The 16,574-nt window shown below is 47.8% G+C and overlaps 1 annotated feature.

Moving 5' to 3' along the window:
* Positions 9,257–9,306: an enhancer, noted in NCBI's record as "active region_17247". NCBI's record gives its function as "activates an Ori minimal core promoter by ATAC-STARR-seq in GM12878 lymphoblastoid cells {active_cell/tissue: GM12878}" and the evidence as "EXISTENCE:reporter gene assay evidence [ECO:0000049][PMID:35858748]".

A 16,574-nucleotide genomic window follows, 5' to 3' on the forward strand; every position in this document is an offset into this window, starting at 1 on the left:
GAAAATTAAGGCTCTCAGAGATTAACAGAAGTCACAACAGCCACCAAGTAGCAGAGGTGATTTGTAGTGACCTGAACTGGTCTCTCAGTAGACAAGTTAACAAGTAAGACAGGTTAATTTTTAACCTGGGTTAAAAATCTCAAGGCACTAAGATGCCAGACTGTAGGGCAAGGGCCCTTTGTGGTTTTCCATGCATATTGGATGGGTGGGGGCCAGGGAGAAGATGCTTCAGGCTCCCATGCGTGGAGCAGGTTACATTGGCATTCCTAGGGTTCTATTTCATGCATGAACTTTGTATCCTCCTGTGGACTCCCACAGGTTTTTTTTTTTTTGAGACAGGGTCTCCCTCTGTTGCCCAGGCAAGACTTAAGACTTCAGTGGCGGGCCGGGCGCGGTGGCTCACGCCTGTAATCCCAGCACTTTGGGAGGCCGAGGCGGGCGGATCATGAGGTCAGGAGATCCAGACCATCCTGGCTAACATGGTGAAATCCTGTCTCTACCAAAAATACAAAAAAAAAATTAGCCGGGCTTGGTAGCGGCGCCTTGTAGTCCCAGCTACTCGGGAGGCTGAGGCAGGAGAATGGCGTGAACCCGAGTGGAGGAGCTTACAGTGAGCCGAGATCGTGCCACTGCACTCCAGCCTGGGCGACAGAGCGAGACTCCATCTCAAAAAAAAAACAAAAACCAAAAAAAAGACTTCAGTGGCACCATCATGGCTCACTGCAGCCTCAGCCTCCCCGGTTCAATCAATCTTACTACCTCAGCCTCTGAAGTAGCTGGGATTACAGGCACACGCCACCATGCCTGGATGATTTTTGTATTTTTTGTAGAGATGGGGTTTCGCCATGTTGCCCAGGCTGGTCTCTAACTCCTGAGTTCAAGCTATCCTCCCACCTCGACCTCCCAAACCGTTGGGATTACAGGCGTGAGGCACAGTGCGTGGCCGAGAGTCTGTTTTCTATTCTAGCCTTCTCCTCGGATTTCACACAACAGGTGCTCCATAAATACTCAGTGAATCCAGGCAGGTATGAAGAAATGTAATTTGTTTCTCCTTTATCCATCCCCCTGAGCAAATGTCCAGACGGCGGAGTCCAAGGGAATGCTACGACCCACCCGTTTGTATCCCGTTAACCTTCCTGCTGCTGACCCGGGAGCAACTGCGTGGAGTGGGCGTGTGCTCTCGGTTGCTCAGGTTGTATCCTGAGATCCTGGCATGGTCTTCCAGGGGAATATTTTTTCCACTGCAGATGACCAGAGGAAGATACCCTACATTCTTCCATAATACGGAGGACAGCTGTGTGGGTTACAGGGGAGGCCAGAAATGAAGCAGGGATGGTGGAACTCGAGACAAAGAAGAAACAAAGGACTGCCCTTAACAGATGCCTTCATTGTTTGACCGGTTCATTATCCAGAACATATGAAGGAAGGAATAAAGAGGGGATCTCAGTTCTTTTTCTCAAACGGCCAAAGAAAACCTTTTGTTGTTGTTGTTTTGAGCAAGAACCTTGTACTGGTACATGAAGAATAGATGAGAAAAGTGTGCAGTGAGTTTGAAAAATATTATTGAGATCTTGAACTTCCACCTTAGCCTGGGTTCCATTGGCTTGGGGAAATTTTAGGCTTTGTTACAGATGTTAAATTATGAAAAAAATCTAGGTACAATTCAGCTTCTATAGGAAAAAACAAACAACAACAAAAAAAACAAAAATAAAAACAAACAAAACAGGCTTGCAGGTCAGGCTATTGCCTTGAAAACAAAAGATAATTAAAGATTACTTACGGCTGCGCACGGTGGTTCACGCCTGTAATCTCAGCACTTTGGGAGGCCGAGGCCGGTGGATCACCTGAGGTTGGAAGCCTGAGACCAGCCTGACCAACATGGAGAAACCCCAACTCTACTAAAAATACAAAATTAGCCGGGCATGGTGGCACATGCCTGTAATCCAGAGGCAGGAGAAACGTTTGAACCCGGGAGGCGGAGGTTGCAGTGAGCCGAGATCGCGCCATTGCACTCCAGCCTGGGCAACAAGAGTGAAACTTCGTCACAAAAAATAAAATGTAATAAAGATTACTTTATCCAAACCCCCTCCCAAGTAAGTTTTTCAAAAAAATGTGCTCTCCCTCTCCTGTGGGTAAGGGAGGAGACCACCCCTCATATTGCCTTATGCCCAATTTCTGCCTCCAAAGAAAGAAAAAGTAAAAACTAAAAGGCAGAAATGAAATCCACAAGCAGTCAGCCCGGCGCCACACCCTGGTCCTCGAAGTTAAAGATCGACCCCTGACCTAATCGGTTATGTTATCTATAGATTACAGACATTGTATAGAAAAGCACTGTGAAAATCCCTGTCCTGTTTTGTTCTGATCTAATTACCGGTGCATGCAGCCCCCAGTCACGTACCCCATGCTTGCTCAATCGATCACGAGCCTCTCACGCCCACCCCCTTAGAGTTGTGAGCCCTTAAAAAGGACAGGAATTGCTCACTCAGGGAGCTCGGCTCTTGAGACAGGAGTCTTACCGATGCCCCCGGCCGAATAAACCCCTTCCCTCTTTAACTCAGTGTCTGAGGAGTTTTGTCTGTGACTTGTCCTGCTACACAGGGAAATTAGAGAAGAGCTGGTCCCTCCAGCCCTGAAAATAGTAGCCAAGACAGAGAAAGGGGGTAGGGGAAGGAAAGCAATGCCAGGTATGTCCCAGTCAGAGGGACCAATAGGATATAAACAAGGTGGAGGGTAGCAGGAACCCCTTCTCCTCCTCACCCCAGCCCACCCTATTCCCTACTCAGGCCTCTGGGAGAAGGTTGCTGAGAGGCTGCCTGCACCTGCTTGGGATGCAGCCTCATCAGCGTGTCTTGGTTAGGCAGGATGCTGCCAACAGCTGAGCTCTGCTAAGCCACCCTTAGACCTTTGGCAGCATGAGCCAGACTTTGGAGGAGCTGCAAGTCTAAATGAGAAGCTTCCAGAGGGGTCCATTGTAGCAGGACAGTTAGGGTGTAAGCAAATTGCTAAGGTTGGAACCAAGCACAAGCTCCGGGCAGACCTCAGAGGGGTCTTCAGCCCCAGTGGGAGCTGGGGTGCAGTGAGCCGTGGTGCAACCCTGCCGAAGCATCGCCAGGGACACAGAATGGACCCCGAGGGTACAACAGCCACAGAGTTCACCTTGCTGTACCCTTGCTCTGCAGAGCTGGCCCGGGGGAAGAGGTGCCACTTTGGCATAGGGACCAAGAAGCGTCCCAGAACAAAGCAAGCCAGACCATGGCCCCAGGCCTTTTAACCTTTGACATCATAAGAACATCTCTGATTCACTGAGACTGTTGCAGTTGAGGACTGACAGCAGGAAGGGCCTCAGAGGGAAAGTCCTTGTGAGGACTCCTCCTTGTGACAGGACTCAGAGCCGAGGCCCAACACTAGGGCTTAGAAGGTGGGGCTTAGCCTGTGGATGGGCCCAGGGAGTGGCCTTCAGACACCACAGCTGAGCATGAAAATGTAAACTGAGCATTCATGCCTCAGGAAACTGAGGGAGGGGCTCCTCTGCCATCTGTGCTAAAAGTAGAGCAGCCAGGGCCTCATCCCAACAGAGGACAAGAATCTCTTCTTCCACACAGGACCCTTCCCAACACCAACTCAGTGTGGCAGGGAAGGAGCAGAGGCAGCCAAAACCAGGAGTTGGATTGAGGGTTCCATCCGTTCCTTGTCCCCCTGGCGTTTGGAATGCTGTGCCATCTAAGATACTTGTCACCAAGTCCTGGGCCCAGCTGTCCCTCTGCTAACCAAGATCCTAGGCCAAGTGCCACCTGAGTTCTGTGGTCCAGTGTGACTGGCTGCAGAGGGGCTTGGCTGTTCAGTTATAAGAAGAGGTTCCCACGTACATGCCCTCCTCCTGATCCTATGCTAAGCCCCAGCACAGGGATGGGAACCTGTGTGTCACCCAGCCTTAACCACTCAAAGAGGGGATGCCTATAGCTCAGGCTCTCCTTTCACTCCATTAGCATCTATCCACCTGGGTCCCTTTTCCCCAGTTAATCATGGCTGCATCCGTATCACGAAGCCTTCTGCTCTGAGGACAGCCAGCCGGGACCAGACATATATGCAGCAGGCTGTGCCTTCCTTCTATGCCTTTGTTTGTGCGGCCCTCTTTCCTCTGCCCACCTGTATTCACCTGGCTGAGGCTCAGAGATGCAGTTTAGGCACATTGGCTGCAGAAACCTGTCTCTGAATCCTCCAGCTTCTCCAGCACCCTGCAAAGACCTTGCTCCTAGTATTTCATTCATTCATTCAACAAATACTTAAGTACCTACTCTGTACCTGTCCTGGGCACTAGGGATGCCACCATGAATAAAAGAGACGAAAGGAAAAAAAAAACTCTGCCCTTATAAGACATAGATCCTACAGTATGTGGGACGGAGACTGATAATACATGAAATAAACAAGCTACATGGCATGTCAAATTCAAAATTCTGTAACGACAAAGAAAGCAGCAAAGGGGGTGAGGCACGTGGGATGGTGGGATGGTCACGTATGTGTGTGCCTCTCTCACAGCTCGGCGTGCTCCTTCAGAACAAGCATGGGATTGTGTTTCTCTCTGGGTCCCCACGCCTAGCCAGGCACCCTGCTGAGTAGTCTTCTTCACTAGTGCTGCCACATACTTAACCACTTGCCCTTTACAGCCCAGAGATCCCTGGGCTGTCTGCACCTATTTCTCCCCAGAGTGCCCAACAGGTCACCAAGGAGGGAGGGTCCAAGAAGGGCAAGGCAGGGCTTGGATAGGCTCCCAGGACTAAGCAAGCAACACCTACCAGCTCAGGCCTTCTTGAAATTAATTCTGGGGGTCAAGCCAATATCATTTGTAGAGCCATAAGCCCTAAGGAAGAACCCTTCAGACAACAAATCAACGAATGCAGCATTCTAATTTTCAACAAACGTATGAATTGCAACATAGCATTAATGACAGAGGCACTGGAAAAGAGTGCTGCCCTGATGGTTTCATAGGAACCACAGTTTACTCAGGGAGGCTGGCTCTGGGCATGAGGAAGAGGGCTCAGCTTTAGTGCTGCTTTATAGAAGTGTACTGGGTTTTTGTCTTGTTTTTTTTTTTTTTTCTCGTTCTGTCGCCTGGGTTGAAGTGCAGTGGCAGGATCTTGCCTCACTGCAACCACTGTCTCCCAGGTTCAAGCAATTCTTCTGCCTCAGCCTCCCAAGTAGCTGGGATTACAGGCATGTGCCACCACACCTGGCTAATTCTTGTATTTTTAGTAGAGACGGAGTTTTACCATGTTGGCCAGGCTGGTCTCAAACTCCTGACCTCAGGTGATCCACCTGCCTCAGCCTCCCAAAGTGCTGGGATTACAGGCATGAGCTACCGCTCCCGGCCTATTTTTTAATCAGTTATACTGGAGGTGGGTATGCTCTCCTCCTTCCTGACTCAGCTTAGATAGGCAACCCTGTGTCCCAGAAGATCCCTCTACTGTGCCCACACCCCATCTGCCCATGGATTAGCCCTGACCCAAAGTGGGCCAGTCACTTTCTTCTTGGGATGTGGAAGTGAGTGCAGTTTGAGAGGCGAAGCTGCTGATGCTTGAAATCCAGCTTGTGGGTGGTGCAGTTAGGAGGTGATGTGGAGTGAAGTCAGCACCACATGTAGGGCCAAGCTCCCCTGCTGCCAAGAGGAGGCTGGGGCAAATGCAGGCAGGGAGAGGCTGTGATGCTGCAGGCCAAGAGGCAGAAAGAGAGAGACAGAGAGGGAGGCAAGAGAGAGAGTTGGAAGAGAGAAAGAGAGGCTGGGACTGGCCAGAATGTGTCCTGCCTGTGGCTGTCTCAGAGGTGCCTCATCCTCATAACAACCCTTCCTTCTTGTAACTTGAGCTAATTTTATGGATTTCTTTTTTTTCTTTTTCTTTTTCTTTTTTTTTTTTTCAAATGGAGTTTTTTTCTGTTGCTCAGGCTGGAATGCCGTGGCGCAATCTTGGCTCACTGCAACCTCTGCCTCGTGGGTTCAGGTGATTCTTCTGCCTCAGCCTCCAAGTAGCTGGCATTACAAATGCTCGCCACCACCCCAGGCTAATTTTTGTATTTTCAGTAGAGATGGGTTTCACCATGTTGCCCAGGCTGGTCTTGAATTCCTGACCTCAGGTGATCCACCAGCCTTGGCCTCCCAGAGTGCTGAGATTACAAGTGTGAGCCACCATGCCTGGCCACATTTTAAAATCTTACAGTTTCTGTGGGTCAGAAGACCACACATGGCCTAGGTGGTCCTCAGTTTCAGGGCATCTCAGAAGACTGGAATCAAAGTGTTGGCCAGGTGCAGTGGCTCATGCCTATAATCCCAGCACTTTGAGAGGCTGAGTGGCACCTGGACAACAGAGTGAGACCCTGTTTCAAAAACAACAACAAAAACAAAAACAAAAACAAAAGACAACAACAACAACAAAAAACACAAGGTGTCAGTTGGGGTTGTGGTCTCATCGGAAGGTTCAGCTGGGGAAGGAGCTACTTCTAGCCTCACTCACAGGGTTGTTGGCAGGGCTGTTAGGCTGAGGCTGCCCTCAACTTCTTATTACATGGGCCTCTACAGCTCTCTTCATCAGAGCAAATGTGTGAGAAGAGCCAGAGAGAGTGCAACAAGATAGAAGTCACAATCTTTTATAACCTACTCTTAGAATTGTTATCCTATCACCTTTGCCGTATTCAATTAATTAAAGCAATTAGCTAGGTCTAGCCCACAAACAAGGGGAAGGGATTTCACAAAAACATGAATACCAGGAGAGGAGAACTAGTGGGGGCCATGTCAGAAGCTGCTGGCCACACCCCTGAACTAGAAAAACCACAAGATTACATGAAAAAGACATTTAAGGAAGGCCCTACCACAGATGGAAACCTAGCCTTGTCCACAATTCCAAGAAGATCCTTTAAGTTCTAAAGTAATCTGGTTTTGTTTTTCTTTCTGTTTTTGTTTTTAGAGAGAGTCTTGCTCTGCTACCCAGCCTGCAGTACAGTGGTGCAATTGCAGCTCACTGCAGTCTCAACCTCCTAGGCTCAAAGGATCTTCCCTCCTCAGCCTCCTGAGTAGCTGGGACTACAGGCATGCACCACCATGCCTGTGACCCATAAAGTTCTTAAGCCAATGTAACTTACTCAATTATGTTGGTGTGTCACTAAAAGAATAAAAGAGATGAAAGAAAAAAAAAAAACCTGCCCTTATGGGACATAGATCCTACAGTATGTGGGACAGAGACTGATAAAACATGAAATAAACAAGCTACATGGCATGTCTTTCCCTGCAATTCCAGCAATAAAATTCCCAGGAGAGGCTGGGGAGAGAGAAACACACACCAAAGAGTAGGTAGAGACAGTGAGAGAGACAAAGAATAAAGAAGAAGGTAGGGAAGGTGGTAGGGAGGGGGAAACGGGGAGAAAACAAGAAGGTCTAAGGAAACATATTACTTCTTGACAGCAAATACACCAAAAGCTACCGTTTCTTTTTTTTTTTTTTTTTTTTTTAGACGGAGTTTTGCTCTGTCACCCAGGCTGGAGTGCAATCGCACAATCTCGGCTCACTGCAACCTCCACCGCCTGGATTCAAGCTATTCTCCTGCCTCAGCCTCCCAAGTAGCTGGGACTACAGGTGCCCGCTACCACGCCTGGCTAATTTTTGTAGCTTTTAGTAGAGACAGGGTTTCACCATGTTGGCCAGGCTGGTCTCTAACTCCTGACCTCAGGTGATCCGCCCATCTCAGCCTCCCAAAGTGCTGGGATTACAGGCATGAGCCACTGTGCCCGGCCAAAAGGTACCATTTCTAATACAGATATAACCCTAATTGACTTGGGACTTAAATTGCAAGAGAAAGAGTTCAGCACTTGATGTGTTAGGCAAAGTATCAGCTTTCAGCCCAAAGTGTTAAGGGGATTATAAGCAGGTGTGTTGGCCTGAGGAGTATCCATTCAACAGGTATTTTTAAGCATCTACCATGTGCCTGACCTTATGCTGGGAATACACAGTGAAAAAGTACTTCATTCACAAATATTTATTGAGCATCTGCTATGTCATATAAATTGTTCTGGGCTCTTAGGGAGTACATCTAAGAAAAAAACAGACCTAACTAAGCAGAACTTACCTTAGAGCAATACCAACAGATGGCATGCAAAGATTAGTTGGTACTTTGTAAAGTGCCCTTATGCTATCCCACTGGAACCTCAATAGGCAGAAGGTTCCAGTATTGTCATCATCTGGAATATGAATAAACCCAGAACACAGAGATCAGCACAGGCCCCAGAGCTCAGAGAGAGTCAGAGGCTCATGGACCTCATCTTTACTTTCTTCTACAAGTGGTTCTCAAATTCGAGTGTTCGCTATAATATCCTAATGTTCTTGTAAAAATGCAGAGTACTGGGCCTGGCTCCCAGAGATTCTGACCCATTAATTCTGGGATAGGCCTGGGAATCTGTACTTTTAATATCACCCAGATGATTCAGCAGTAGAAGGTCCCCAGAGCTCCCTTTGAGAACACGCTGTGAGCCCATCTCCCAACCAAGAGATTTTTGTCAAAGCTCCCAAGGAAGGAGTAGGGTTGACTGCACAGTGAATGCTCACTTCCTCATGTGAAATGTACAAATTCAATTCAACTTGATCAATATTCATTTGTTCAGTCGAATAAAAATAAAGAGCTTAGGAGGTGGCTGGTGGGGTGTAGATAGGGATGTCTACATGGAGGAATATAAACTCAGAATGCCAGGAAGTTGTCTTCAAATATCTTAAGATGGTGGGTAGCTCAGTTTAACTCAAACACCTTTATTAAATGCATCAACTAGGATACTTTTGGTTGTGAGCAACAGAAAACCCTATATAACTGGCTGAGCAACCAGGAGCTGCATCATGTCACCACAAGGAGGAGTCCAGAGGGGTATAGCCCCCGTGCCCCAGGCACTGTGCTAGGTAAGGGCTTGAGGTACCCAGACATGGTCTCTATGCTCAAGGACAGTCTCAGAGGAGAGAAACACATGAACAGATGCCTTGGAGTTAATGTGCTGTGATACGTGCTGTGACACAGGTGTTGCCCAGAAGAGGGGCACCCGGCTCTGCCCGAGGACAACAGGCAGGTAAAGCTTCCTGGCAGAGGTGATACCTGTGCTGGGCACTGAGGATGAGTAAGAATGAGGCAAAGAAGAAAGGAGTGGAAGGGGGTTTCAGGCCATATGGCTTACAACTCAGAGGGATGAGGCATCACGGCGTGGCGTGGGAAGTCCCGTGCCTCTGGAGTGAGTAGATTGGGTGTCAGACTGAAGAACGAGCAGAAGCCAGGACCCGAGGGCACATAAGTCATCCTGAGGAACTTGAACTTGGTGGTCCGCCACATGGCAGTGTTCATGGGGCAGCTAGAGATGCAAGCCACAGTTTGCAGAGCAATTTTTTGAACCTTAGAAGCCATATAAGGGCTGAAGATATGTATTAGAGTGTTGGCAGCATAGAGGTGATAGAAATTCTAACACAGATGAGAAATGACAGGCACAGTGTGAGACAGAGAAGAACACTAAGCTGAGCGTGGGAGCCTAGGAGCAAGACTCAGGTCTCAAGACCCCGCGTCTCCACCAAGCAGTCTCAGAAGAATTGCTCGACAGGTGGGAAGAGCTCCAGGCGAGAGGCTGTCTTAGAAATCAAGGAAGTGGAAAGTTTCCAGGAGGAGAATGTGGTTGCCATTTCAAATGCAACAAAGAGGCCCAGAAAGATAAGGACTGAAATGTATCCCGTGGGTTTGATAATCTGGAAGTCTGGAGACTTTGGTAAACAGTTACAGTGGCGTGGTAGGGACAGAACCAGGGTACTGTGGTGGGGAATGATAGAGCAACGAAGGCTAGGATTACCCAGTGAAGATGGCTCTTATAATAAGCTCAGGGCAAAAGGAAAGGAAAGAGGGAGAGGCAAGAGGGGAGTATAGGATCAAAGGAAAGTGTTTTTTGGGTGGGGAGAACTTGAGCATGTTTGTACATTGAGGGTCAGAGGGAGATAGGAGTGACTGCAGCAAGTTGTGAGCAAATTGGAGCAAGAGGGACAAAATTGAGGCAGCGTGAGGGGCTGGACCTGACCATGAGGAGGAACACTTCGTCCTCAGAGACAAGGGTGGGTGGGTGGGTGGGTGTGACACACTGGAAAACCAGGATGGTGGGAGCCGTACAGTGTTCAGTACAGGATGATCACCAGAAAGAAATATTAATGAGAGCTTTCTGCAGATCCTGACCCTTTGTAAAGGGAGTGCACACTAACTTTCCAATTCGCAAAGAATAGCACCCTCTTATAATCACCCCAGGGATAAGGAAGGATCAGAGTGTGAGTCAGAAAATGAGCTGCTTGGCCGGATGCAGTGGCCAAGTGCACCTGCAATCCCAGCACTTCAGGAGGCTGAGGCGGGTGGATCGCCTGAGGTCAGGAGTTCGAAACCAGCCTGGCCAACATGGTAAAACCCTGTCTCTACTAAAAATACAAAAATTAGCTGGGTGTGGTGGTAGGCGCCTGTAATCCCAGCTACTTGGGAGGCTGAGACAGGAGAATCGCTTGAACCTGGGAGGCAGAGGTTGGAGTGAGCCGAGATCACACCATTGCACTCCAGCAGTGGGTGACAAGAGTGAAACTCTGTCGAAAGAAAAGAAAAGAAAAGAAAATTAAAGAAAAGAAAGAAGGAAGGAAGGAAGGGAAATGAGCTGCTTGTATCAGATATTTCAGGTGTGGAGTAGCTCTAGGTGATGACAAGTTCCAGGATTTGAATGTGGTACGGAGCTGAAATGGAGCAGAGGTGAGGGTTACTGGGATTAAGATCAGAGAAATCGTGCAAGCCTAGGTTCTTGGATAGGTGTATCAGATAGGAACCCAATTTTGCTGCAAGCAACAGCAACATGGCTGCAGTGGCTTAAATAAGTTTGGGATATACAGGATAAGAAGTCTAGAGTCAGACAGATGATGGTGATGGCTCAATAGCCTTTTGAGGACAAGGTGGACTCTGCTAGCCATTTCCTCATGGTTGAAAGATGGCTGTCCCTGCTCCAGCCATTGCATCTACAGTCAAGGAAGGAAGAAGGAGAAAACGATGTACCAGCTGTGTATCTCCCCTATTACCAGGAAAGCAAATGCTTGTCTAGAAAACACTCCTTCTCTCCAGCATATTCCCACTGGGTCTTCTTGAGAGAACCGTGTCCCTTGGCCTTCCCTTGGCTGCAAGAGAGCTGAGAGAACTGGGAACGGGACTGCCATGGTAGATGAAGTCAGCACCTTCTGCTGGGCACACCGCTGCATGGAACTAAATCAGGGTCCTCGTACGAAGGCGAAAATGGGGCTGGATATTGATTAGGCCAACATGAGATCTGCTGTGATACATCCTCTGTGTGGTGAACAAAGTCTTGTCCTGCTCTAGAGCGTTGATATTCGGGCCAGTGAAGGATGGAAATAGCTGTTAGGTCCAGCTGAGGGCAGGACTGGGAAGAGGAGTGATGGGAAGGTAGTCAGAGGCCAGAGCTGAGTCCCTGGACACCAGCCTGTGTTTGTGCTGAGAGGGGAGCTCTCCGCACGGTCTTGAGCAGCTGTGAAACAGGCAGAGCTGTCTTCGGGGAGATGGAAGAGGCAGGCCTGGCCAAACTAAGGGGCAGGTGCAGACCACAGCCACAGTTTGGGAGGCAGCAAGTGCCTGCCCAGCCTCCAGCACCCCCTTTGGGCCTCTGGGCACCTCAGAAATGTGAACTGGGCAACCCAGGCTCCGCATTCACAGGCGTAAAGTGTGGCACCCTTTGAGAAGGGGACTCAGGTCAGACTGGCCCTCCAGAAACCTCAAGACTACCACCCCCATGTCTCTTCCTTATACCCTGTGGTCCTCACCATGGTCCTCTCATTTGATCCCGGTCCTCTTGCCCAGCTATCCCCTGGCTCCTCCCACAGCATTAGGGTTCCATCCCCAGCAATGCTGGGTAAGAGCTTCCCAGGACTCCTCTCCCCTCCCCAGGGCCCTCTATTTGAGCAGAACCAGACAGGGCAACACAGGGGCAGATGATGAGCTACACAGGGCCCGCTGCTGGCTGGTTGTGAGTGGGTAAGAAAGGAGGAGGGCAAAGCTGACTCCCCACGCTAAGCCTAGGTGACCCATCCAGCAGCCTACAGCTGTGCAGTGGGACTTGGGCAGCAGTGATGGTTCAATAGCCTTTTGGGGACAAGGTGGCCTCTGTTAGCCATTTCCTCATGGTTTAAAGATGGCATCCCAGTGTGTGACCTGGACACCAGGTTTTGTCTCAGATGAGCCAGAGAGTAGAGAAGCCCCTCAGGCTGCACTCCCCCATGTTTCTGCCCTTCGTCCACTCCATCGAGCATGCCCTGCACCCTCAGATCCCAGGGCCTTTGCTCATGCCATCAGTCTGCCTGGAACACTCCTCCCCACCCTGCTCTCCAAGTTGACTCCCACTCTTCCTTTGCGCCCCAGCTTAGACATCATTTCTCTGAAGACCCCTTTCTTGGCCTTTTGCCTGGTTCTTTCTTTCCCCGTTTTCCTTCTTAGGAGTATGTGATTCTGTATTAGTTCAGATCATTACCACCAATCACTGAGTCAAACATGCAATCCCAGTGAGCAAGCACAACAGAGGCTGATTTCTTCTACTTCCACGTGGCTTGGGAAGGCCTCCTTCATTTGTAGTTACACTGGCCACCTGGCAATATGCCACACCCAATGTCACCAATGCGGAGCATGAGAAGGAAGCACACCAGCTTTTAAAGTGCATCCTTGGAGGTGACACAAATCACACCCACTCAAGGTCCTTGCCAGAATTGATCACATGCCCCAGACTAAACTGTAAAAGGTATTGGGAAATAGTGGGATGTACGTGGAATAGTTAGTTAGTTAGTTAGTTAGTTAGTTAGTTAGTTAGTTATTTTTAAGAGATGGGGTCTCAGTTGTTGCCCTGGTTGGTCTCAAACTCTTGGGTTCAAGCAATCCTCCTGCCTGAGCCTCCTGCGTAGCTGAGATGACAGGTGTTTGCCACCATGCCCAGCTCATGGAATATTTAGGAAGCTCTACTTGTCTCTGCCACAGCTTTTTGTAAAAGCCTCTTATCACAGTTGTCACTTTACATTTATTTATGAGCTTCTTGGATGGTGTCTGTCTCTGTCCCGAGGGTTGTGAGCTCCAGTGAGGACAGGAATTGCATGTGTTGGCTCACGGTTCCCCCTCAGGGTCTAGCCGACTACCTGTGTGTCATCGGTGTCCAGGAAATATTGAGTGACTCACTAAATAAATAAACTGCATTAAGTGGGCAGTGGGCTTAGCAATTGAGAGTTCACTTCAGGCCACAAAGAGCATCATTTCAGAGGGAAACAAAACTTCAAAGTCTAAGGAGTGAAATTGAGTTAGGGATCAGAGGGGCAGCTAATTTTGACAGAGAAAAGCAAGAAGATCTGATGAGGAGAGGCACGGGGGAATTTTCCCAGAGGCCCAGCTCCCTAAATCAGCTTTTATTAAACCACTCCTTGGTACTGTGGCTGTCCCTGGGTGCCACAGACACAAAGAGCTGTGGGGGAGAAGGGGAAGGTTTTGCAGCCATCACTAGCTCCCACTGCTTCCCCTGTGACCTTACCACTGTGAAAAATAATGCAGCAACAGCAGAATGCACAGTTTCCATAATTAGGCTCCGTGAAGAGGGGAAGCCGTCTCAAAAAGCCTGCTGTTTTAGCTCTGGTAGAAGTCTGGGTAGTTTAAAGCGGAGAACGTGTTTTCCAGACAGATGGCTTAACATCGGTTCCTGACAAAAGGCAGGCAGGAAAGAAGAAACCACTCAGGAAAAGAAAAGCCTTCAAACCTCTGGAGAGGCAGTGAGTGGTCTAAAATCTCTGCTTCTTCTTAGCTCTCTGGTTCTGGCCACATTACCCAGCTTCTCTAAGCTCCAGCTTCCTCACCTGTAAAATTCCTCTTCATCAGTTCTAAGACACACCTTTTTTTCTTAACATTTTAACATCGCTGAAATTAGGATGTAATTAGCGATCAATGGCAGGCCACAATATAGTTGGTAGGGCTTTTCTCTTCATATGGCATAAAGTAATGGCAAGTGTTACAATCAATGTATCTTAGATTTGATGAAATACAGCATTCCCTTTGGTTTTGGGATCAGAAATAATATAGGTGAACCGGTGCCAGGTAATATATGGAATTGTACATAGTAGATTCTCAGAAAAATCACAATTTTAATCTTATTACTTTAAGATATAAAAAAGAAAAATCTTCAGGCTAGGCGCGGTGGCTTACAACTGTAATCCCAGCACTTTGGGAGGCTGAAGCGGGCAGATCACCTGAGGTCAGGAGTTCAAGACCAACCTGGCCAACATAGCGAAACCCCATCTCTACTAAAAATACAAAAATTAGCTGGGCGTGGTGGCACACACCTATAATCCCAGGTATTCGGGAGGCTGAGGCAGGAGAACCTCTTGAACCTGGGAGACAGAAGTTGCAGTGAGCCAAGATCATGCCACTGCACTCCAGCCTGGGTGACAGAGCAAGACTCTGTCTCAAAAACAAAAACAAAAACAAAACTTCAGTCTTTGTGGGATACGTAGCATGAACAAGGTTAGAAATGTAATGTGCAACATCAGAACTAAAGTTGGCTGGGCGCTGTGGCTCACGCCTGTAATCCCAGCACTTTGAGAGGCCGAGGCGGGTGGATCACAAGGTCAGGAGATCAAGACCATCCTGGCTAACACAGTGAAACCCCGTCTCTACTAAAAATACAAAATATTAGCCAGGCGTGGTGGTGGGCACCTGTAGTCCCAGCTGCTCTGGAGGCTGAGGCGGGAGAATGGCGTGAACCTGGGAGGCAGAGCTTGCAGTGAGCCGAGACTGCTCTGGGCAATAGAGCAAGACTCTCTCTCAAAAAAAAAAAACAAAAAACAAACAAACAAAAAAACACTAAAGTTAATAAAACTTTATTGTATTAGAGATTTCTGTTAAGTTAGTAGATTTCAGCTGCTCTTGTCACCAAAAAGGAAAGTAACTATGTGAGATGATGGCTATGTTAATATGCTTCGCTATGGTAACCACTTTACTATCTATATGTATCCCATAACATTTGTTATGAACCTCAAATACACACAATAGAATTTATTTTTTAAGAAAAGTCTTTGTGACATCATCCTTAGCTAACCAACACAGGAACAGAAAACCAAATACTGCACATCCTCACTTATAAGTGGGGGCTAAATGATGAGAACACATGAACACATAGAGGAGAGCAACACACACTGGGGCCTTTTGGAGGGTGGAGGATGGGAGGAGGGAGAGGATCAAGAAAAACAACTAATGGGTCCTAGGCTTCATACCTGGGGGATGAAATAATCTATACAACAAACCCCATGACACAAGTTTACCTATGAAATAAAGCTGCACGTGCAACCCTGAACTTCAAATAAAAGTTTAAAAAATAAAAATAGGCTGGCTATGGTGGCTCATGCCTGTGAACCTAGCACTCTGGGAGACTGAGGCAAGTGGATCACTTGAAGTCAGGAGTTCGAGACCAGCTCCACTAGAATAACAAAAATTAGCCGGGCTTAGTGGTGTGTGCCTATAATCCCAGCTACTCAGGGGACTGAGGCAGGAGAATTGCTTAAACCAGGGTGGGGGCAAAGGTTTCAGTGAGCCGAGATGGTGCCACTGCACTCCAGCCTGGATGAAAGAGCGAGACTCCATTTCAAAAATAAATAAATAAATAAATAAAAATCTTTGTGAGTTGTTTGGTTTCTACCCTCAGACTCTATACAACTGTCATTACAGGATTAGGAGGTGCCCTTGTAAGACTTGGGCAAAGTACACTGACTTTGCAGGTGGGACTGGGGTAAAGGCTAGATGACGGAAGAGAGAGAGAGAAGACAGAGAGAGAAACAGAGAGAGAGAAAACACAGAGAGAGAAGAGAGAGAGACGGAGAGAACACAGAGGTTAGCGGGAGGAAAAATCAAAGGTGAAATATGAATCCACCGCCTCTTTGGAACTTTACAGTGGTGACTGAAATGTAAGAGACACTGGTTCCAAGCCTGGGAAAAGGGCAAAGTGATCCAGCCTCACGGATGACTCAGCCAGGAGCAAAGAGGGCATTCAGAAGAAGACATAAATATTCCTTAGCCTCAGAGAGGCAGAGACCTGAAAGAACTGATAAATCAGGAATCTTGATTATTGTAAATTTGGAAGTTGTACATGTAAAATGTTTTCTTTTTCCATTGGAAAGATAGAGACTGTCATTTGGTGCAAATCTCTCTACTGATTTTTAAAGAAAGAAAGGAATACTGTTAGGTAGATGGGGGATCTGGAAAGAATTCCTGGATTTAGCTTGGGGCTTAGAATCCAGCCCCTTCCCCTCTTACTGTTCCTCCTCCCCGCCTCCACCACAAGTGATTTGTTCCATTTTAATTGCACCCATTTGACTTTCACAAAACATGTTAAAATTTTGTTAGTGCATGAATATCTGGGTATGTGTACTTGAGTTTAATATTTGAAGGCTTAATTTGCTTTTTGAAATGTTTTTATAAAAGTATTTCATTACTTAATGAAGTGAAGTAATTTTTAAAAGTAAAATC

This window comes from Homo sapiens, chromosome 2, assembly GCF_000001405.40.
Source record: "Homo sapiens chromosome 2, GRCh38.p14 Primary Assembly".
NCBI classification, from domain to species: domain Eukaryota; kingdom Metazoa; phylum Chordata; class Mammalia; order Primates; family Hominidae; genus Homo; species Homo sapiens.